The sequence below is a fragment of the Homo sapiens genome, chromosome 18 (assembly GCF_000001405.40).
Source record: "Homo sapiens chromosome 18, GRCh38.p14 Primary Assembly".
NCBI classification, from domain to species: domain Eukaryota; kingdom Metazoa; phylum Chordata; class Mammalia; order Primates; family Hominidae; genus Homo; species Homo sapiens.
In genome coordinates, this window is record NC_000018.10 from 79,979,012 (window position 1) to 79,998,562 (window position 19,551).

A 19,551-nucleotide genomic window follows, 5' to 3' on the forward strand; every position below is an offset into this window, starting at 1 on the left:
ACTGCAACCTCCACCTCCCAGGTTCAAGCTATTCTCCAGCCTCAAACTCTCGTGTAGCTGGGATTACAGGTGTGTGCCACCACGTCTGGCTAATTTTTGTATTTTTAGTAGAGACGAGGTTTCACCATATTGGCCAGGCTGATCTCGAACTCCTGACCTCAGGTGATCCACCCACCTCGGCCTCCCAAAGTGCTGGGATTACAGGCGTGAGCCACAGCGCCGGCCAATTAAGAGCATTCTTTTACATACATTACCTACTTTCCAAAAATGGCAAACTTCTATGGCTGCGTGATTCATCAAATGGCTATGCCATTACTTTACCATTTGATATAGTTTGGATATTTGTCCCTGCCCAAATCTCAGGTTGAAACGTAACTCCCAGCGTTGCAGGTGAGGCCTGGTGGGAGGCGACTGGATCATGGGATGAATTTCTCATCAATGGTTGAGCGTCATCCTCTTGGTGCTGTCCTCGGGGTAGTGAGCTGAGGTTGTTCCAAGTGTGTGACACTCCGCCCCAGCTTTCACCGTGCGACGTGCCTGTTCCCCTTTGCCTTCTGCCATGATTGGAAGGTCCTGAGGCCTCCCCAGAAGCAAATGCCAGTACCACACTTCCTGTACAGCCTGCAGAACTGTGAGCCAATTAAACTTCTTTTCTCATAAGTTACCCGGTCTCATGTATTTCTTTATAGCAATGCGAGAAGAGCCTCCTACACCATTCTTCTGTTACTCTCTGATTGTTCATTAATATTATTCATCTGTGAACATTTTCCCCCTTAAATTTGTATACATACTTCATTATTTCCTAAAGACAAATTCCTAAAATTCTGGAACAAAGGATATGACATTTTAAAGGCTCTTTATAAATACTAACTCAATGCCCTTTAGAAGCTTGTAGCCACTTACATGTGTTATGAGTTAAACTGTGTCCCCAAAACAGTTGAAGTCCTAAACCCCCAAAGTGACAGCGCAGCTTATTTGGAAACGGTACTGCAGGCGTAATCAGTTAAGGTAAGATGAGGTCATACTGGAGTAGGTGGGCCCCTAATCTGGTGTGACTGGTGTCCTTAGAGGAAAATGGCCACATAAAGACACAGGGACAGGAGGCTCTGGGGGCATCGAGGACTGCAGAGGCGTCTACAAGCCTAGGAGCTCCAAGAGGCTGCTGGCAGCACCAGAAGCTGGGAGAAGCATGAGGACTCTCCTTGGCAGGTTTCAGAGAGAGCCCAGCCTGGAAAACACCTCGATTCTGGACTTCTGGTATCCAGAATTGTGAGAGAAGTTTCTGTTGTTTTAAGCCCCTCAGCTTGCAGCATCCTCTCACAGCAGTCACGGGAAATCAATGGGATATGCACAACATTTCTTCATATAAAACTAAATCTTTACAACCTGACTGTAACTTACAGGTGAAATAATTATATCTGGGATTTCCATGAAACACACAGCCTAAAAAAATGAGGGGTTAGGTAACACAAGACCAGCAAAATACCAGCAATTGTTGAAGTGGAACAATAGGAACAGACGGGTTCACTATATTCTCTACTTTGGGAAATATTTTTTAAAAATTAAGATGGAAATGTAAACCATGGAGCAGGGTGGGGAGAGGGGGAGGGGGAAAGCCCACACTTCACAAAGACTCCACTGCCCTTCAGCTTTGGTGAAAAAAACCGTATCAGAACTCCAGCACAGGGCCCACTGCAGGAGCGTGCGCCTCGCCATCCATGTGCTTTCAAAACCCCAAGGTGAGCACACGGCCCACTGCAGGAGCATGCAACTCGCCATCCATGTGCTTTCAAAACCCCAAAGTGAGCACACGGCCCACTGCAGGGGCATGCGACTCCCCGTCCATGTGCTTTCAAAACCCCAAAGTGATGTTTGCATTAGACATGGGCCCCTCTGAGTCCGGTCACTCTGACAACGCCCATTTCTGAAACTCTAGTTTCCCGCAGCGTCCACAGTGAGAATGTGTTGGTCAGGTTGCCAGAATCCAGCTTTATTTTCATGGTAAACTAATAAACTGTCTTTTGATTTGACTTAAACACAAAATACTTCCCTACAGAAGCTAAAATAAATACACCAACAAAATAAATGGTCACAGGCATTAGGAAAGTCAAAATAATATTTCATTATTCTCCCTTCAATGCCTTGCTCAGGGACAGATACAATAAATACCAGTAACATCATATTAACTTACGGAATCACCATGCAAATAATAAATTACTTGAAATATCATTTGGACAGGGTTGTAAATTGTGTACTTAAGAAAAAAGAAAGGTCACAACAAATTTTTACCATCCCTTTTCTTGCACGTAAAAAATAGTAAATATTATAAGCATCTGTGGTTTTTAATAATTTGTAGGCATTTAATAAACAGAGTGCAGGGCCAGGTGAGGTGGCTCACGCCTGTAATCCCAGCACTTTGGGAGGCTGAGGCGGGCGGATCACTTGAGGTCAGGAGTTCGAGACCAACCTGGCCAACGTGGTGCAACCCTGTCTCTACTAAAAACACAAAAATTAGCTGGGTGTGGCGGTGCACGCCTGTAATCCCAGCTACTTGGGAGGCTGAGGCAGGAGAATCACCTGAACCCAGGATGTGGAGATTGCAGTGAGCTGAGACCGTGCCACTGCACTCCAGCCTGAAGGACAAAGCGAGACTCCTTCTCAAACTAACAACAACAACAATAATCAGAGGGCAACTGAGTAACTGTAACTTTAAAGATACAAATGTGACTCTCCTTTTGCCTTCAAGCTCCGGCCCACTGCATCTAACCCGGAGAATTCTAACAGAGGCAAACTACCACATAAAGCTCACGTGCCACGAGAACGTGAACATCCTCTGATTTCACCACAGACCAGTTTCATGAACACTTGAGAATCCACCATGTATGAGGCACTTTTCACTCATGGATTCTAATTCTTTCAACACCTCTAAATAGATGTCGCCGATGTTTTAGGTGATGGAATTCAGGCTCAGAAAGGTCACGTGAGTGATGCCCAGCCGCACGGGGAAGGGGCAGAGCTGAGATGCACTCTGTCTGGCTCCAAAGCCTGAACTCTGGATGACAGAATCAGCCTAACCCACAGGAGACGGGGCGGCAGTGTGGTCACGGGGTGGCAGGGAAATATCTGTCCTTAGAGAATTCCATGTGTAAAGAGAAAGACACAAGACCAGCAGCCAGGTCTCAGATCCAGCACCAGGGCAAGGAAGCAGAAGTGCAGGACAGTGGGGACCGATGCGCAGGTGGACTGGCCCACAGAGGACCTTTTCCACTTGGGATTCTGGGCCATGTATTTATTTCTAAGAAAGCAGGAATTGAAGAGTTCAGTTTTGTATATACTGAGTTTGAGAAAACTAAGGGACATCCAGAGAAAAAGGCCCTCCAGGTAGCGACTGGCCTGGAGCTGTACAATGGAGTCTGGGCTGGAGAGAGCTACCTTACTGCCGCCACCTACATCCAGCAGTGATCCCAGCCAGGGTGGCAGGTGCCAGGCTTGGGAGTGAGTGCAGAAGCCCACTGTAGAGTTGGGGGCAGGAAAGGGATGCCAAGGAGGCAGTCTCAGAAACCAAGGCAGGAGACTCCGGGGAGCTGTGCCGAGTGCCCCAGAGAGGTTACCAGAAAGGACGATATGGGAACGGGGACACTGCAGGGGCTGAAGGACTGAGGAACAGAGGACTTCAGTGTGGACAACTTTCAAAAGCCGTGGCTATGGAGAGAGAGGGAAGTTACTGTGGGACTTGGGAGTTCAGATAGGAGAGGCTGAAAGAGGCAGGCAGAGGGGAGCTCCCCAGCCTCCCACCACCCCATTTTCTTGGTGAAATGGCATCTGTGGGGTGACTGGAGGAGCATGAGCTGAGGGCAAACATCAGCAAACATCCAGCAGCATCTGCTGGTGGCGACATTTCCACGGTAACCAAGCGCTTGGAGGAGGAGCTGGGTGAGTGCAGCCACACTGCTCTGCCAAGTCATCCTGTGACTTCCTCAACAAAGGCAGCTTTTTCTTTTCTTTTTTAGATGGGATCTCACTTTGTCACCCAGGCTGGAGCAGAGTGGCGTGATCTCGGCTCACTGCAACCTCTGTTTCCCAGCCTCAAGAGATCCTCCCACCTCAGCCTCCCGAGTAGCTGGGATTACAAGCGCCCACCACCACATCTGGCTAAGTTTTGTATTTTTAGTAGAGATGGGGTTTCAACATGTTGGCCAAGCTGGTCTCGAACTCTTGACCTCAGATGATTCGCCTGCCTCGGCTTCCCAAACTGCTGGAATTACAGGTTTAAGCCACGGCGCTGGCCTCAAATTGTTTTTAAATTCTTTGATTGCCTTGAATTGTAAGTATCTTTTCCAACTCTGTTGCCTATACACCTCATAAGCATGCTTTTTCTTTAGGCAAGTCAGCAATTAAAGTGCTCAGCAGTTCTTCCGCATGCCTCTAAGTCCACCTGCCAAGTTACAATGACATAACTCTGCAAAACACATGACCAAACTGGCACATGATACCAACCACTGTTCTACACTTTTGTATGGAGTCCCTCAACCAGCTAAGAAAACACCTAAAATTCCGGAAAAAGTGTTCTGGGCAGTTGATTAGCACAACAAATTTTTGAAGTGTTTATTTTTACATTTTTAGGTAATTCATGTCAAAGCCATAAAAAAAACTGAAAAACTTGACTTTCTAAAATTAATGTTTGCCTTAATCAGCTCTCACAATAACTTGCAAACTTAGTAATGTGAGAGAAGTAATCACAGTAATAACAGTGGCATTACTGCCCATGTGACAGGAGTGCTCTAGAAACCTTTATTAATCCCACCACAACCCTATGAGTGAGGCACAAGTATGCCCTTTTTACAGGTAAGATGACCCACGGGGCCAAGTTCGTAACGCTCATGCAGTTATGAAGTGCCAAGAGCCTAGCTAGAGTCTGCACCCTCAACCGCCGCTCAACACCACTCCTCATACCTTGTGGCTAGAGTCTGCACCCTCAACCGCCACTCAACACCACCCCTCATACCTTGTGGCTAGAGTCTGCACCCTCAACCACGGCTCAACATCACCCCTCATACCTTGTGGCTAGCTACAAGGCTGTTTTTTTTCCAGAGACAAAAATCCAGAGGAAACACCAAAAATATCCATTCTGTTTGTTTCTACAAGATTCCTCATCTAGCTGAGTGTTGACTCTCACTGGTTCAGTAGGCGTTCTGTGATCCTTAATGTGATACTTAAGATACACCCCTTAATATGGCTCCTATGAAGTTCCATAAATATATATCTGCCTTACACACAATTTATTAGAATGTACTATCATGGGCCAGGCATGGTGGCTCACACTTGTAATCCCAGAATTTTGGGAGGCTGAGGTGACTGGCTCACTTGAGGACAGGAGTTTGAGACCAGCCGGCCAATATGGCAAAACCACATCTCTACCAAAAATACAAAAATTAGCAGGGTGTGGTGGTGGTGCAGGCCTGTAGTCCCAGCTACTCAGGAGGCTGAGGTTGCAGTGAGCCAAGATCGTGCCACTGCACTCTAGCCTGGACAACACAAGAAGACTCTTGTCTCAAACAAACAAAAAAAATGTACTATCATGAGTCAATAATATTACTGAGGAATTTTTTTGTTTTGTTTTTAGAGATGGGGTCTCGCTCTATCACCCAGGGTGGAGTGCAACGGCACGATGATAGCTTACTGCAGCCTTGACCTCCTGAGCTCATACTCTGTCTTAGCCTCCTGAGTAGTGGGGTTACAGGCACATGCTACAATGCCCAGCTCACTGAGACTATTTTAAACTCTATTTGCGTGGGCTTTTTAACACAAAAAATAAACGTCCCATTCAGTCTTCTCACCCATCATGGGATTTAGGTAACAGTGAACCCCAAGCACTGCTGTGAGTGTTCCTACAAAATGGAAAGACAGCTCAAAGGCACATGAAATTGTCCCCTCTGAGAGCGTTCCTACAAAATAGAAAGACAGCTCAAAGGCACATGAAATTGTCTCCTGTGACGGCGTTCCCACAAAATGGAAAGACAGCTCAAAGGTCCATGAAATTGTCTCCTGTGACGGTGTTCCTACAAAATGGAAAGATAGCTCAAAGGTACATGAAATTGTCTCCTGTGATGGTGTTCCTACAAAATGGAAAGACAGCTCAAAGGTCCATGAAATTGTCTCCTGTGACAGTGTTCCTACAAAATGGAAAGACAGCTCGTACATGAAATTGTCTCGCTTCAAAACTGCATAAAATCAGCTGCTAAATAGAAAACTTTTTTTTTTTGAGACAGGGTCTCGCTCTGTCACCCAGGCTGGCATGCAGTGGCGCGATCACGGCTTGTCACAGCCTTGAACTCCTGGACTCATATCCTCCCACCTCGGCCTACCAAGTAGTTGGGACCACAGGCACATGCCACAACGCCTAGCTAATGTTTGCATTTTTTGTACAGACAAGGTTTCACCATGTTGCCCGGGCTGTTCTCGAACTCCTGGGCTCAAGGGAACCACCCACCTCGGCCTCCCAAAATGCTGGGACCACAGGCGTGAGACACAGTGCCCAGATGAAAACTTTATTTATTATTATCACTTTATCAAATGAATTGCCCCACATTTATTAGCAAACTCTAGGCATCTGTGAAATCTTTTAAGCATAGCTCTGTTTCCAAACTGACTTTATTCCTGAAGTTTACAGCTCAACTCTAATCCAGCATGAAGTCAAGTGGGCCCTGTGGAAGCAGCAAATCAATACAACACATCTAGGAAAAATCATATCAAGTCCAGCCTGAACATTTGCAACTGTTACTCACTTTAAAACAGCTGGAATATCCAGACAGAACTCGGAACAAGGTAAGGAAGAGTCCCCATTATCTGCCATTTCTGCACAGGGAAATTTTTAAATAGTTATATTGTTCTTTATACTAAAACCTTATATTTCAAAAATTTCTGTTGAGCTTCTCCAAAAAAGGGCTTCCAGAATTAGGAAGTCATATTTGCCCATAGACTAAGAAGAAAATAAAACATGAATATTCTTTTAATGCATTTCAGGTGTGCACTTTTTTTTTTTTTGGAGACAGAGTCTCACTCCTGTTGCCCAGGCTGGAGTTCAGTGGTGTAATCATGGCTCACTGCAGTCTTGACTTCCCGGGCTCAGGTGATTCTCCCACCTCAGCCTCCCAAGTAGCTGGGACTACAGGCACGTGCCACCACGCCCGGCATTTGTACTTTTAGTAGAGAAGGGGTTTCACCATATTGTCCAGGCTGGTCTCGAATCCCTGGGCTCAAGTGATCGCCTACGCTGGCCTCCCAAAGTGCTGGGATTACAGACATGAACTACCGCGCCTGGCCTAGGTTTGCCCTTTTAATAACTATATTATAATATTCGCATTAAAAGTTTATTAATAAAGCTATCCAAATTTTTGGACAAAAACAAAAATCAGACTATTTTAAAAGACCAAAAAAAATACCCCAAAGTGAGCCCATTTCAACTGTCCTTAAGTGTGTGTCCACTATGTGTGTCCACTAGTGATACAGTGATTCATTCTGTAATAACAAAGAAATTGGACATAAAGGAGTTGGAAAAGAGCAAATCTGGCAAAGACCCTAAACACTTACATTAACACATAAAATCTGTTTTCTAGCTAAGAGCATCTTGCTGAGCTGTGCTCGGATGTGATGAGACAAAGGCCCTCACATCTCCAGCCATCCTAGCCTCGAGCTGCCGGCAGCAGGATCTGAACACCACCCGATGTTTATGCCACCACCTGCAATGTAGAACAGTGAAAGATTCTAGAATTCATAACTCAAAGTCAATACAGCAGTGATTTACTTATTGGGAAACTGCTCTTAGTCAATTCTTCGCTGGATTTCCAGTATCTGCCCTTGTCCACTACAGCTCAAGCAATGACAAACTGATGTGTGGCACTGCCTCTCTCATCATCTCTAATCCCCGGCTGGCAGAACCCCCAGCGTGTGAGAGAACTGCTGCTCTCCCGAATTCCCTAGGTCCCTCCTCAAGTCCTCAGTGTCCAGGAGGAAGAGGCTGCGAGATGGCTGGTACTAAAGCTACTCCACCTCCATCCCTGACCCCCATGGAAGGTGGTTCAAGGTCAAGTCGCATCAGAATTCCCTGAGGGGCTTCTTTAAAAAGCCATTGCTGGACTTCACCCCATACCCATAGAATCAGAATCACAGATGCATTCTAGTAAGCACTCCAAGGGAGTCTTGTAATAACTAAAATATAACAACAGTTCCTAACTTCATGCCTCTCCTACTAAATAAGAAATAGCAAAAATTAATAAATGGCAGGCCAGATAGTCTTTCCTTTCCTGAATATAAAATATGTCCTTACATCTGTTACTCTTTACTCAAAGGAGTTATTTTAACCCAGGCCTACTTTTTAGCATCTGTGAAAGAAAAGATAGCTTCAATGTTACTTTTACTCTTCATTAAAAGGAATAACCTCTCAAATTACTTATGGAAAATTAATATGGCAAATATTTTATTAACACCCTAGTATTTGTGCCCTTTGCCCTATTGCTACAGCTGCAAAACCTCAATAAAAGTCATCCTAAAATTGCTATGAGGAACCACAGAAAAAGAATGAAATCTGGTTATAAAATAGTGTCCTACAACTTTTATTGTCAGCAAGTAAATGCCAAGACCACTCAGTGTACTAATATTAGAAATTCAGAGAACTAATTCTAACAAAGCATATTTCTATTTTCTCCTGATGTTTACTGCACCTCAATCACTGTAAGCTGTAAACCACATGACTCACAAAAAGCGTGGTGGGATAAAAAAACACACCCACAGAAAAGCAGGATTTCTCATGCTATGAACATGAAAGTCCTGCTTTATGCATACAACGAATAACTCAGGTACCAAAAAAAGACGTCCTTTTAAATTAAGGATCCGCGCTCTCAATAAAACCTGCAAGTGCATTTTGTTCACTGAACTATAAGTTTGGGAAAAACGCCTTATCAACAGAAATAATTAATTCATTTGAGAGGAGGGGGATCATAAACCCTTTAAAATATGAAAAACTACAAGAGCTCCCCGCAGAAAAAGGCGTGAAACGCCGGCACAGTCCCCGAGAGCGCTCGACCGCAGCGAGGGGAGGAATCGCCTGAACGACGGAGCCGCGGCCCCTCCTCGGGGAACAGCTCGCGCCCCCAGGCGACGCCGGCAGGGCAGAGGCGCGGGGCAGATGCGGAAGCACAGCCCGCAGAGCGGGAGAGTCCGGCGCGCTACCTTCTCGGCGATGCTGTACAGGACCTCGTCCATCTTCATGCACGTAGGATCCCAGTCGTGGCCGAAGCGGATGACGACCACGCGGTCCTCCTCCGAGAGGATGGCCTGGTCCACCTGCCAGCCGTTGTGCAGGTGCGGGAGCATGTACGACATGGCGGCCCGCGCGCTCGCCGCCGCCCAAGGCGGGGCGCCAGGGAGGGCCCAGCGAGGTGGGCTCAGCCGGCCCCTCACTCCCCGGCCCCCGCCGCCCCCGGGCCCACGGACGAAATCCGGTCCCGCCCGCACACGCAAACTCCGCTGGGACTGCCACCCGGCAGAACGTCTGGGCGCGCACGCACCGACGCCGTGCGTGCTGACGGCATGCGCGCGCGCTAGCGCCGTGCGTGCTGACGGCATGTGCGTATAGGCGCCGCGCGAACGTGTAGTTGGCCGGGTGGAGCGGCGGCGACCTGGGCACCGTGGAGCGCCGTTGGTTCCGTCATAGCAGCTGTCGGAGTGGGGGTTCCTCCCCAGCGTCCAGGCGGCCTGGTGGTCCTGAGAAGCCCCGGGCTCGCCGTGCCCTGCCCCCACGCTCCCGCCCCGAGGCCGCCCGCCGCCGCCCGGGCTGTCCTCCAGCCACGGATGGGGACGTCCAGAAAGGCCCGGAATGCCCGGCACTGCGGCTCGTTTTCTTCCTTTCTGGTGCTTGTTTCTGTGTGTTACTAAGACAGTTCATGTGTGTCATTTGTGAAACTTGATCATAAAAATGTGTCGTTGTTGCCATACCCAACCACAGCAGAGTCGAGCAGCGGGGTAGGGAGGAAGCACTGGGCAGGCCGTCCTTGAGGAATGTCACCATCAGGCCGGCTGCTGAGCTGCCTGTTGTAACCTGAAACCAGGTTTTTTAATTTGTCTTTTTATAAAGAAAAAAAATTTTTTTTTGAGACGTGCAGTGACGTGATCTTGGCCCACTGCAGCCTCCGCCTCCCGGGGTCAAGCGCTTCTCCTGCCTCCGCCTCCCCATAAGCTGGGACTACAAGGCGCCAGCCCGGCTAGTGTTTTTTTGTACTTAGTAGAGACGGGGTTTAACCATGTTGGCCAGGCTGGTCTTGAACTCCTGACCTCAAGTGATCTGCCCGCCTCGGCCTCCCAAAGCGCTGAAATTACAGGAAGAAGCCACCGCGCCCGACCTAAAGCCAGTTTTATTCCATAGCTTCAGCATAACTTCCACCTCCAGGACTGATCTGGCCCCCTGGCTTCGCTCACCAGTCAGAGCTCCCCAAACCCTTACTAGTGCCAGTGAACTTTCTCAAAGAGAAATAAGTTAATATTTCTCTTTTTAAAATAAAACCTCTAACCTCTGTTCTTCTGAGAGAGCACTTTGGGTTCATGCTGGAGACTCCCTGGTTTGCAAACTGATATTGATAGTAAAACTCTTGTCTACTATCTAGCTATCCTGGTGGTCCTTTAGATGACAAATTTAAAACAAATCACGCCCGGGCGCGGTGGCTCACGCCTGTAATCCCAGCACTTTGGGAGGCCGAGGCCGGCGGATCGCCTATGGTCGGGAGTTCAAGACCAGTCTGGCCAACATGGTGAAACCCCGTCTCTACTAAAAATACAAAAAATTACCCGGGCATGGTGGCGCCCGCCTATAATCCCAGCTACTAGGGAGGCTGAGGCAGGAGAATCGCTTGAACCCAGGGGGTGGAGGTTGCAGTGAGCTGAGATCGCACCACTTCACTCCAGCCTGGGTGACAGAGTGAGACTCCATCTCAAAAACAACAACAAATCACTATGCAGATGCTGTGGTGTCTCTCAGATGGGCTGTGGCATGGTGAGAACTACAGTCTGAAGAGCCTGCTGGCATGGGGATTGAAATGGGTTCCATGTTTGGTTTCCTCTGGGACACAGCACCATAAGGTGCTTTGATAATATGCACCCACAATTTAAATACTAGAATCACAAGTGCAGCTCACTGCCAGATTAAGCTTTTTACATAATACAGAATATTTCCCAATTATATACGAAATGCTTTATTGTAATGAAACAATTTCAGGTTGGTAGGATATTAGAGATCATCTAAATCTCTTTCATTTTATAATTGAGTAAAGCAGAGGCACAGAATATAAGCATAGTGGTTAACAGTGAGGGTTTTAGTTACATAAAGGCGTGTTCAGGTTCATCTGTGCCTTGCATAAGTTATCTCAACAAACTTCAGTTTCCTCATCCATGAGATGGGATGATAAAACAAAATCTCCTGTACTTCATTGGCACCAGGTACACACTGGAGAAATCTGAGCCCTTACTAAGGTCAGGCTATTGCCTTCTAAAAAATTCCTTACCGTCATTTTGGTAGTCACTCATTTCAGATACAAACACAGTTGCTTAACACATCACAAGCATTTTATTCACAGGAGAGTTGTTCCAAGCTAAGGCATAAGACTCAAATGTCCCCAAATAATTTATTGAAACTCATTTTTTATTGTGTTACTTATAACAAGATTTATCGCCTTAATTTTTAAGGACATTAAGTACATTCATATTATGCAACCATCACCACTATCCATCTCCAGATAAATCTTTTCTTTAATAAAAACTTTTGGCCGGGCGCGGTGGCTCACGCCTGTAATCCCAGCACTTTGGGAGGCCGAGGCGGGCGGATCACGAGGTCAGGAGATCGAGACCATCCTGGCTAACACGGTGAAACCCCGTCTCTACTAAAAATACAAAAAAAAAATTAGCCGGGCGCGGTGGCGGGCGCCTGTAGTCCCAGCTACTCGGGAGGCTGAGGCAGGAGAATGGCGTGAACCCGGGAGGCGGAGCTTGCAGTGAGCCGAGATTGTACCACTGCACTCCAGCCTGGGCGACAGAGCCAGACTCCGTCTCAAAAAAAAAAAAAAAAAAAAACTTTTGTTGAGATCTAATCCATATACTATAAAATTCACCAATTGAAGGTGAGATGGTTTTTCAGTGTTGTGGAACCAATACCACAATCTAATTTTAGGAGAATGTTATCACCCCGAAAAGAAAACCTATACCCATTAACAGTCATTTCCCATTTCCCTCCCATTCCCTCAGCCCCTGGCAATCACTAATCTATTTTCTGCCTCTATAGATTTACCTATTCTAGACATTTCATATAGATGGAAACACAAAATATGGAGTCGTTTGTGACTGCTTTCATTTAACATAATGTTCTCAAGGTCCATATTGTAGCAGACATCAACAGCTAGTTCTTTTTAATTGCTGATGAATATTTCATTAAATAAAACAAAAAATTAGAAACTATTCCATTATATGGATATACTACATTTTATCCATCAGTTGATTGACATTTGGGTTGTTTGCATTTTTTTACTATTATGAGTAATGCTGCTATGAACATTCATGTACAAGCTTTTGTGTGGACTTAAGTTTTCATGTGGTAACTGTTTAACATTTTTAAGTATTGCTAAATTGTTTTCCAAATTGGCTACACCATTTTACATTCTCACCAGGAATGTGTGAGGGTTTCAGTTTTTCCACATTCTTGCCCATGCTTGTTATTTATGTACCTCGTGAACCCCAAAAATCTGAGACAGGTCTCAATTAATTTAGAAAGTTTATTTTTCCAAGGTTGAGGATGCATCCATGACACTGCCTCAGGAGGTCCTGATGATATGTGCCCGAGGTGGTCGGGGCACAGCTTAGTTTTATACATTTTAGGGAGGCATGAGACATCAATCAATATATGTAAGAAGAACATTGGTTCAGTCTGGAAAGGCGGGACAACTTGAAGCAAGGACAGGAAGACTCAAAGCGGGAAGGGGGCTTCCAGGTCACAGATATGTGAGAGATGAACAGTTGCATTCTTGTGAGTTTCTGATCAGCCTTTCCAAAGGAGACAGTCAGCTGTGCATCTGTCTCAGTGAGCAGAGGGATGACTGACTAGAATGGGAGGCAGGTTGAAGGGACCCAAGATACTTTCCTTTCACAGCCTTGTATTATGGTCATACTGGTAGGTATAAAATGATAAGGTGGTTTTCATTTGCCTTTTCCTAATGGTTAGTGACTGTTCCTCAGTGGCCAGGCCTATACAAATCTGCCCCAAAGTCAGAGGAAGCTGAGACGCCAAAGAAAGGGACTGGCAAATCTAGTTCTTTAGAGAGAAACATTTAATAGGGACTTATGTACAGAAGCCACATCTGTGTCTCTGGCAGTGGTGAGACAAGGTGGTGGTTTCCCAACCATCACCCCCAGGCCCAGGGCCTTCCCAGACCCAGGGCTTACATACTGTGAAAGGAAAATAAATCTTGTGACCCCAAACTCATTAAGCCAAAGGGAAAAGTTAAGCTGGGAACTGGGTCAGGCAAACCTGCCTCCCCTTTTGGTTCCTAAATAAGAGGGCTGCAAGATGATAACCTACACGCCTCCCCCATATTTTGCCCACAAGGAAATTCCTGGTGAGCTCCAAGATTTCTGCCCTAAGGTGTTCCTGTTAAAATTTCGCCATGGTAATGTAAATCGATAGCTTGTCTTTACAGGTGCAGTCATCCCCCTGCCTACCAGATACAAATGCATATCTGATTGTTCCCCTGCCCTTTTGTTATGTTTTGTCTATGTTACCTTATGTAATAATGCAGATTCCTCTGCCCCATTTGTCTGTCATCTTATGTAAAAAAAAAAAAAAAAAAAAAAAAATGCAGATTCACTGAACCAAAGGCATGAATGACTATTTTTCCCTACCCTCCTCTTATGTGAAATTTGTGTACTTCTCAATATCCCACCCTTTCCCCTTTAAATTTGGAGCCCTCAAAATAATCTTTGGAGAAAGGCGTAGACCTGTCTCCCAGGCACGAGTCCTTATCTTTGGCAGATAAGCCTCCTGGAATGAGACTGGTCTCATCATTTTTTTCGACTGACATGTGGTAACCACTAAGGGAACCTGGGCGAAGGTGGCCCAGCCTGCAGCAGCTCTCCTATTGGTGCTTGGTACTGGTCTGGGCACCTTGTAGCCTAAACTGGTAGGACAATTTGCTGAAGTCTCGGACCTCTTTTTTCCAGGGATCCCTGATCTTCCAGTGTTTTTCAGTTGGGGGTCAGAGGTTTATTTGCTGTTTAAAAAAAAAAAAATCTCCTTTTTTCCTGGAATTTCCACTCACTTCCATCAAGGAAGGCAGCCTGTCTGCTGCTGCATCTGTGGAGAGCACTTTTCAGCTTGGGCTCCTATCACTAGGTAAGGAATTGGTTTGGGATTTTGTCTTGCAAATTCTTTTTAAATGACTAAAGTTAGCATGAACAACCCACTGGTGTTAATTTCTGCTTACACTTGAGTGCTCAGAAGTCATATAATTTGCGTGATCACTGTTAGTTTTGCTTAGCTGTTTTGTTGTTTCCGTCTTGTTGGGTTGTGTGTGTTGGGTTGTGTGTGTGTTTCAGTCCTTTCAGCTACCGGATTTGACCAACTCCAAACCCTCTAGCTTATGAGTGTGGAATTTTCTAAAGAAATAAGAGCACTTTACTCCCCTCAGCCTTTCGGGGCATTCTTAGGCAACTGAGAATCGCGTGAGGGTGTCTGGGAGGAAAGCACCTTAAGACGTGCAACAGCTCTGAGCTGGTTTTCTCCCCAGAAAAACATGCTTAAGGTCTAATCTCATCTGGTAGGTGCATATAAGGAGCTGACCCTTCCCACACCTGGAGCCCCTGACACACTTTACCAGGTAGCCGCGACAAGCGTGGACTGAACTGGTTCAAGGAATAATGGCCCTGAAGAGCCAGGTCCCCAGGCAGCACACTTTGGGTCTCACACACATCCCAACTTGGTTGAATCCGAAGGGGAACTTTAAATTATGGGGAATGAGGCCTCTAAATTAGCTAAAACCCCAGCAGCTGAGGAACATAAAGTTCCACCTTTAGAAACTCCGGCCAGGTACATGCAAAATACTTACGGCAAATTGTCATGCAAATATTTAACCAAGTGGACCACTATAACCAAAGTAGTTCTAAGTTACAATGGCCTAAATGGGGATCTTTTGAGATGCCCAATTTAGTGTACCCGCGAACCAGAATGGAAAACGCGGGCACAAAAACTAAGAAACCGGAATGGGAGAGCTACTTTCTTGGTACCTGGAGAGTAGCCAGCGGGGGGAAAGATCACCTCACCTCCCTACAGGAAGCCGACAACTTAGAACTGCCAATCGAGAACTCTCTAATCATTTATCTCTCTTAAAGAAATCCTCCCAGGGGAAAGATCACCTCATCTCCCTATAGGAGGCCAACAAACAACTCAGAACTGCCAATCGAGAACTCTCTAATCGTTTTATCTCTCTTAAAGCAATCCTCCCAGGGGAAAGATCACCTCATCTCCCTACAGGAGGCCAACAAACAACTCAGAACTGCCAATCGAGAACTCTCTAATCGTTTATCTCTCTTAAAGAAATCCTCCCAGGGGAAAGATCACCTCATCTCCCTACAGGAGGCCAACAAACAACTCAGAACTGCCAATCGAGAACTCTCTAATCGTTTCTCTCTCTTAAAGAAATCCTCCAAATCCCTTACTTCCCCCTTAGTGCCTCCCCTACCTCCACCTACACCCCCACTCTACCCCTAACCCTCTGGACTTCCTGGACCAGACCTCTCCCGTCCTTTTCCTTCAGGTTCCAATCTACCCTATTCTCCTCCTTGCCTGCCACTCACTGAACCGAAGGCAGTAGGGAATCTAACTTCCAAGACCCTACTTCCTGCCGATTCTCTGGTATCGCCAGTGGCAGCCTCTCATCTGGAAGACATGGAAAAGGGGACACCATAGGGACTCCTCTCATGATCAACCCGTTTCGGGAACAACTGTTAACAGTTAGGGGAACCCCTGTGATTGTCTGTCAACCCTGGTTAATGGCTGAGTTGCGAGGCATAAAGAATTTCCTGCCTCCCGTAAAGATCCAATTGGGTTTGCTCAAGAGTTTGAGCTCATTATCAGAATCTATGACCCGGGTCATTCAGACCTTTATCAGCTGGTCCACATACTGGTCTCAGAAGCTAAAGCTAAGTGGCTGGAAAAGGCACAGTGGTCAGACATTGTAGCAGACCTGATCTCTAAAGGCCCAGGAAGGCCAAATCAGCCAGCCCCAAATCCTGAAGACAGACGCAGAGATGCTCGTGAACGATGACTGTTCTGTTAAATAGCATTCCTTCAGTGTCCCGGAGGGTCGTGGATTGGAGGAAAATCCAGCAATGCTGCCAGAGCACAAAGGAATCCGTTTTAGATTATTTCACACGTTTTGATAAAACTTTTAGACAATATTGCAGGATGTCAGCTGATTGCTATGAAAACAATAAAAATGCTACAATATTAAATGCAAATTTATTAGACTAGGTGATGATTTAGCCACCCTTAGAAAATGCCACATGATAAATTGGGCCACAGCCAGAACTAATGAACTAGTTAGCTGACCAGTTATCCCGCACTGTGATAAAAAGGAAAAACAGAAGATTGCCCAAGTTATGCGTTTACAGTTAAAGCAATTAACTTTTCAAACCTCTCAGCCCCAGAAAGATTTTAAGCTCATAGGTCTGAGGACTCTTCCCTCCCAGTCTGTTACTAGTGTAAAAGACCAGGACAACGGCCGGGCGCGGTGGCTCACGCCTGTAATCCCAGAACTTTGGGAGGCTGAGGCGGGCAGATCATGAGGTCAGGAGATCGAGACCATCTTGGCTAACATGGTGAAACCCCGTCTCTACTAAAAATGCAAAAAAAATTAGCCGGGCATGGTGGCGGGCGCCTGTAGTCCCAGCTACTTGGGAGGCTGAGGCAGGAGAATGGCGTGAACCTGGGAGGCGGAGCTTGCAGTGAGCCCACATCGCGCCACTGCACTCCAGCCTGGGCGACAGAGCAAGACTCTGACTCAAAAAAAAAAAAAAAAAAAAAAAACGGCCAGGACAGCTTAAGAGGGATTGCATTAGGCTGAAATGAAAGAAAAGACAAGAAAATGCAGCTCAGGAAGACTAGGGTGCTCTGAGAAAGTACAGGGTTTCACTGCTCCAAATATTCTACCCTGACAAATTGGGAGAGATTGATATAATGATAAACCAGGAGCTTACAACTGCCTGAATTTGACACAGGAGTGGCTATATCTGTTATAAATCCCACCTAATTTAGAAACCCCATACGTGAGAGTAATGAAAGAATTAACATGGTGGCTGTGTCTAATAAAACTCTCTCATGTTTTAAGTCTAAACCTAAACCTTAACATTTCTTTGGGTTCAGATGCCCCGCCATGGGCTCTAAGTGTGACATGCTCCGTTGGTCCCATGTGTTTCTAATGTGCCCTGCAGCCCCGTCAATCTTTTGGGCTGTGATCTCGTCAACATCCATAATGCTCATATCTCTTTTTCATCGAAAGGTGAGCTTCTTCTAGAATTGAAGCCAGGGACCAACAATATCAACTTAGAAAACATCCTGACAGCAGGATGCAGTCACTCATGCCTGTAATCCCAGCACTTTGGGAGGCCGAGGCAGGTGGCTCACTTGAAGTTAGGAGTTAGAGATCAGCCAGGCCAACATGGTGAAACCTCGTCTCTAGTAAAAATACAAAAATTAGCCAGGCGTGGTAGCGCATGCCTGTAATCCCAGCTACTTGGGAGGCTGAGGCAGGAAAATCACTTGAACCCAGGAGGCGGAGGTTGCAGTGAGCCAAGACTGTGCCACTGCACTCCAGCCTGGGCGACAGAGGGAGACTCCATCTCACAAAGAAAAAACAAGACCTGACATTGCACCACAATTTAGTACTAGTAATGTTAAGACACCATTTTGTGACTGGGGAAGGGAAATGAGACAGAGAAGGAAATACTAGAAGAGAAGAGAGAACATTGGAATAAAGAGCAGAAAACAGTAAAACTCCTTTTAGCTTCCCCAGTCTTCCTGTTAACTCCAGAAGTGGAGCATTTGCTTAAGGATGTCCCTTCCCACTTATACTCTCAGTCAAATACAGATATAGGGAAAATATTCTCAGCCACTTCCATAAAGGTAGAGATAAACCTGAAGAACCCCCTACCCAACCTCAAACAGTATCCTCTCTGACAGGAAGCTACAGATGGAATCGCCCCTGTCATCCAAGATTAACTGAAAAGGGGGCTCAACTATTCCCTGCACAAGCCCCTGCAACAGCCCCATATTCCCTGTAAAACAAAAACAAAAACAAAAAAAAACAAGCAGGAGGGGACGGAGATTTGTACATGACTTGAGGGCAATAAATATGGCAATACCCAGACACCCAATAATCCCCAACCCACATATCCTTCTATCAACTATACCCAGTACCAGCTAGTATTTCTCAGTTGCAGATCTCTGCAGTGCCTTCTTTAGTATTCCTGTAGATCCAGACAGCCGGTATTTGTTTACCTTTACTTGGAAAGAAGGGCAATATATGTGGACGGTAATGCCTCAAGGGTATACACAAAGTCCCACTTACTTTTCCCAAATATTAAAAGCTGATTTAGAGGATTTAATTTTTCCCCAGGGCTCAACACTCATTCAGTATGTAGGTGACCTTCTTTGTTCAGACACACTATCTTCCTCCCAGGAAGATGGTCTATATTTACTCAAACAGCCACCAAAGGACACAAAGTGTCCAAAGACAAACTTCAGCGATGCTTGCTGCAAGTTAAGCATTTGGAGGCATATTATCTCAGTCAAAGGACTGAGTATTAACCCTGACAGAGTGAGAGGAATTTTAGCTTTCCCAATGCCTGTTACTAATAAACAGCTTAGAGGATTTTGGGTCCTGGCTGGCTATTGTAGAAACTGGATACCAGTGGACAGGCCCGGTGGCTCAGGCCTGTAATCCCAGCACTTTGGGAGGCTGAGGCGGGTGGATCACGAGGTCAGGAGATCGAGACCATTCTGGCTAACACGGTGAAACCCCCTCTGTACTAAAAATACAAAAAAATTAGCTGGGCGTGGTGGCAGCACCTGTAGTCCCAGCTACTCTGGAGGCTGAGGCAGGAGAATGGTGTGGACCTGGGAGGCAGAGCTTGCAGTGAGCCGAGATTGCACCACTGCACTCCAGACTGAACGACAGAGCGAGACTCCGTCTCAAAAAAAAAAAAAAGAAAGAAACTGGATACCAAATTTCTTCCTTATGGCTCAACCTCTCTATGCATACCTAAAAAATGAACAACCTGATCCTGCCTTGTGGAGTCCTGAGGGACAATCAGCTGTACAACAAATAAAGGAAATTCTAACTAATGCCCCAGCCTTAGGGCACCCAAACTACAAACTGCCTTTCTCCCTTTTCACACACAAAACTGGAGGTACTGCATCCAGGGTACTGATCCAGAAACATGGTGATCATCAGAGGCCTATAG

The 19,551-nt window shown here is 46.2% G+C and overlaps 1 protein-coding gene across 8 annotated transcripts in view, besides 2 other annotated features; it reads right to left on the minus strand.

Moving 5' to 3' along the window:
- TXNL4A (thioredoxin like 4A) overlaps positions 1-19,551 on the minus strand; it is a 63,124-nt gene that overhangs the window by 8,199 nt on the left and 35,374 nt on the right. For 3 of the 8 annotated variants that reach the window (NR_131177.2, NR_131176.2, NM_006701.5), the window contains exon 1: positions 9,229-9,552. The exons of 2 other annotated variants lie outside the window; for them this stretch is intronic. Coding sequence is in view for 3 of the 6 variants with exons in the window: in NM_006701.5 (NP_006692.1) it covers positions 9,229-9,381 (153 nt within the window). In the remaining 3 variants the exon portion in view is untranslated. Of the gene's footprint in view, positions 1-7,590; positions 7,740-9,228; positions 9,553-19,551 lie in introns of those variants that run through there. 3 more of the 8 variants (NR_131175.2, NM_001303471.3, NM_001305557.2) reach the window with 2 other exon arrangements.
- Positions 9,365-9,604: a silencer, noted in NCBI's record as "silent region_9585". NCBI's record gives its function as "represses an Ori minimal core promoter by ATAC-STARR-seq in GM12878 lymphoblastoid cells {active_cell/tissue: GM12878}" and the evidence as "EXISTENCE:reporter gene assay evidence [ECO:0000049][PMID:35858748]".
- Positions 9,645-9,934: a silencer, noted in NCBI's record as "silent region_9586". NCBI's record gives its function as "represses an Ori minimal core promoter by ATAC-STARR-seq in GM12878 lymphoblastoid cells {active_cell/tissue: GM12878}" and the evidence as "EXISTENCE:reporter gene assay evidence [ECO:0000049][PMID:35858748]".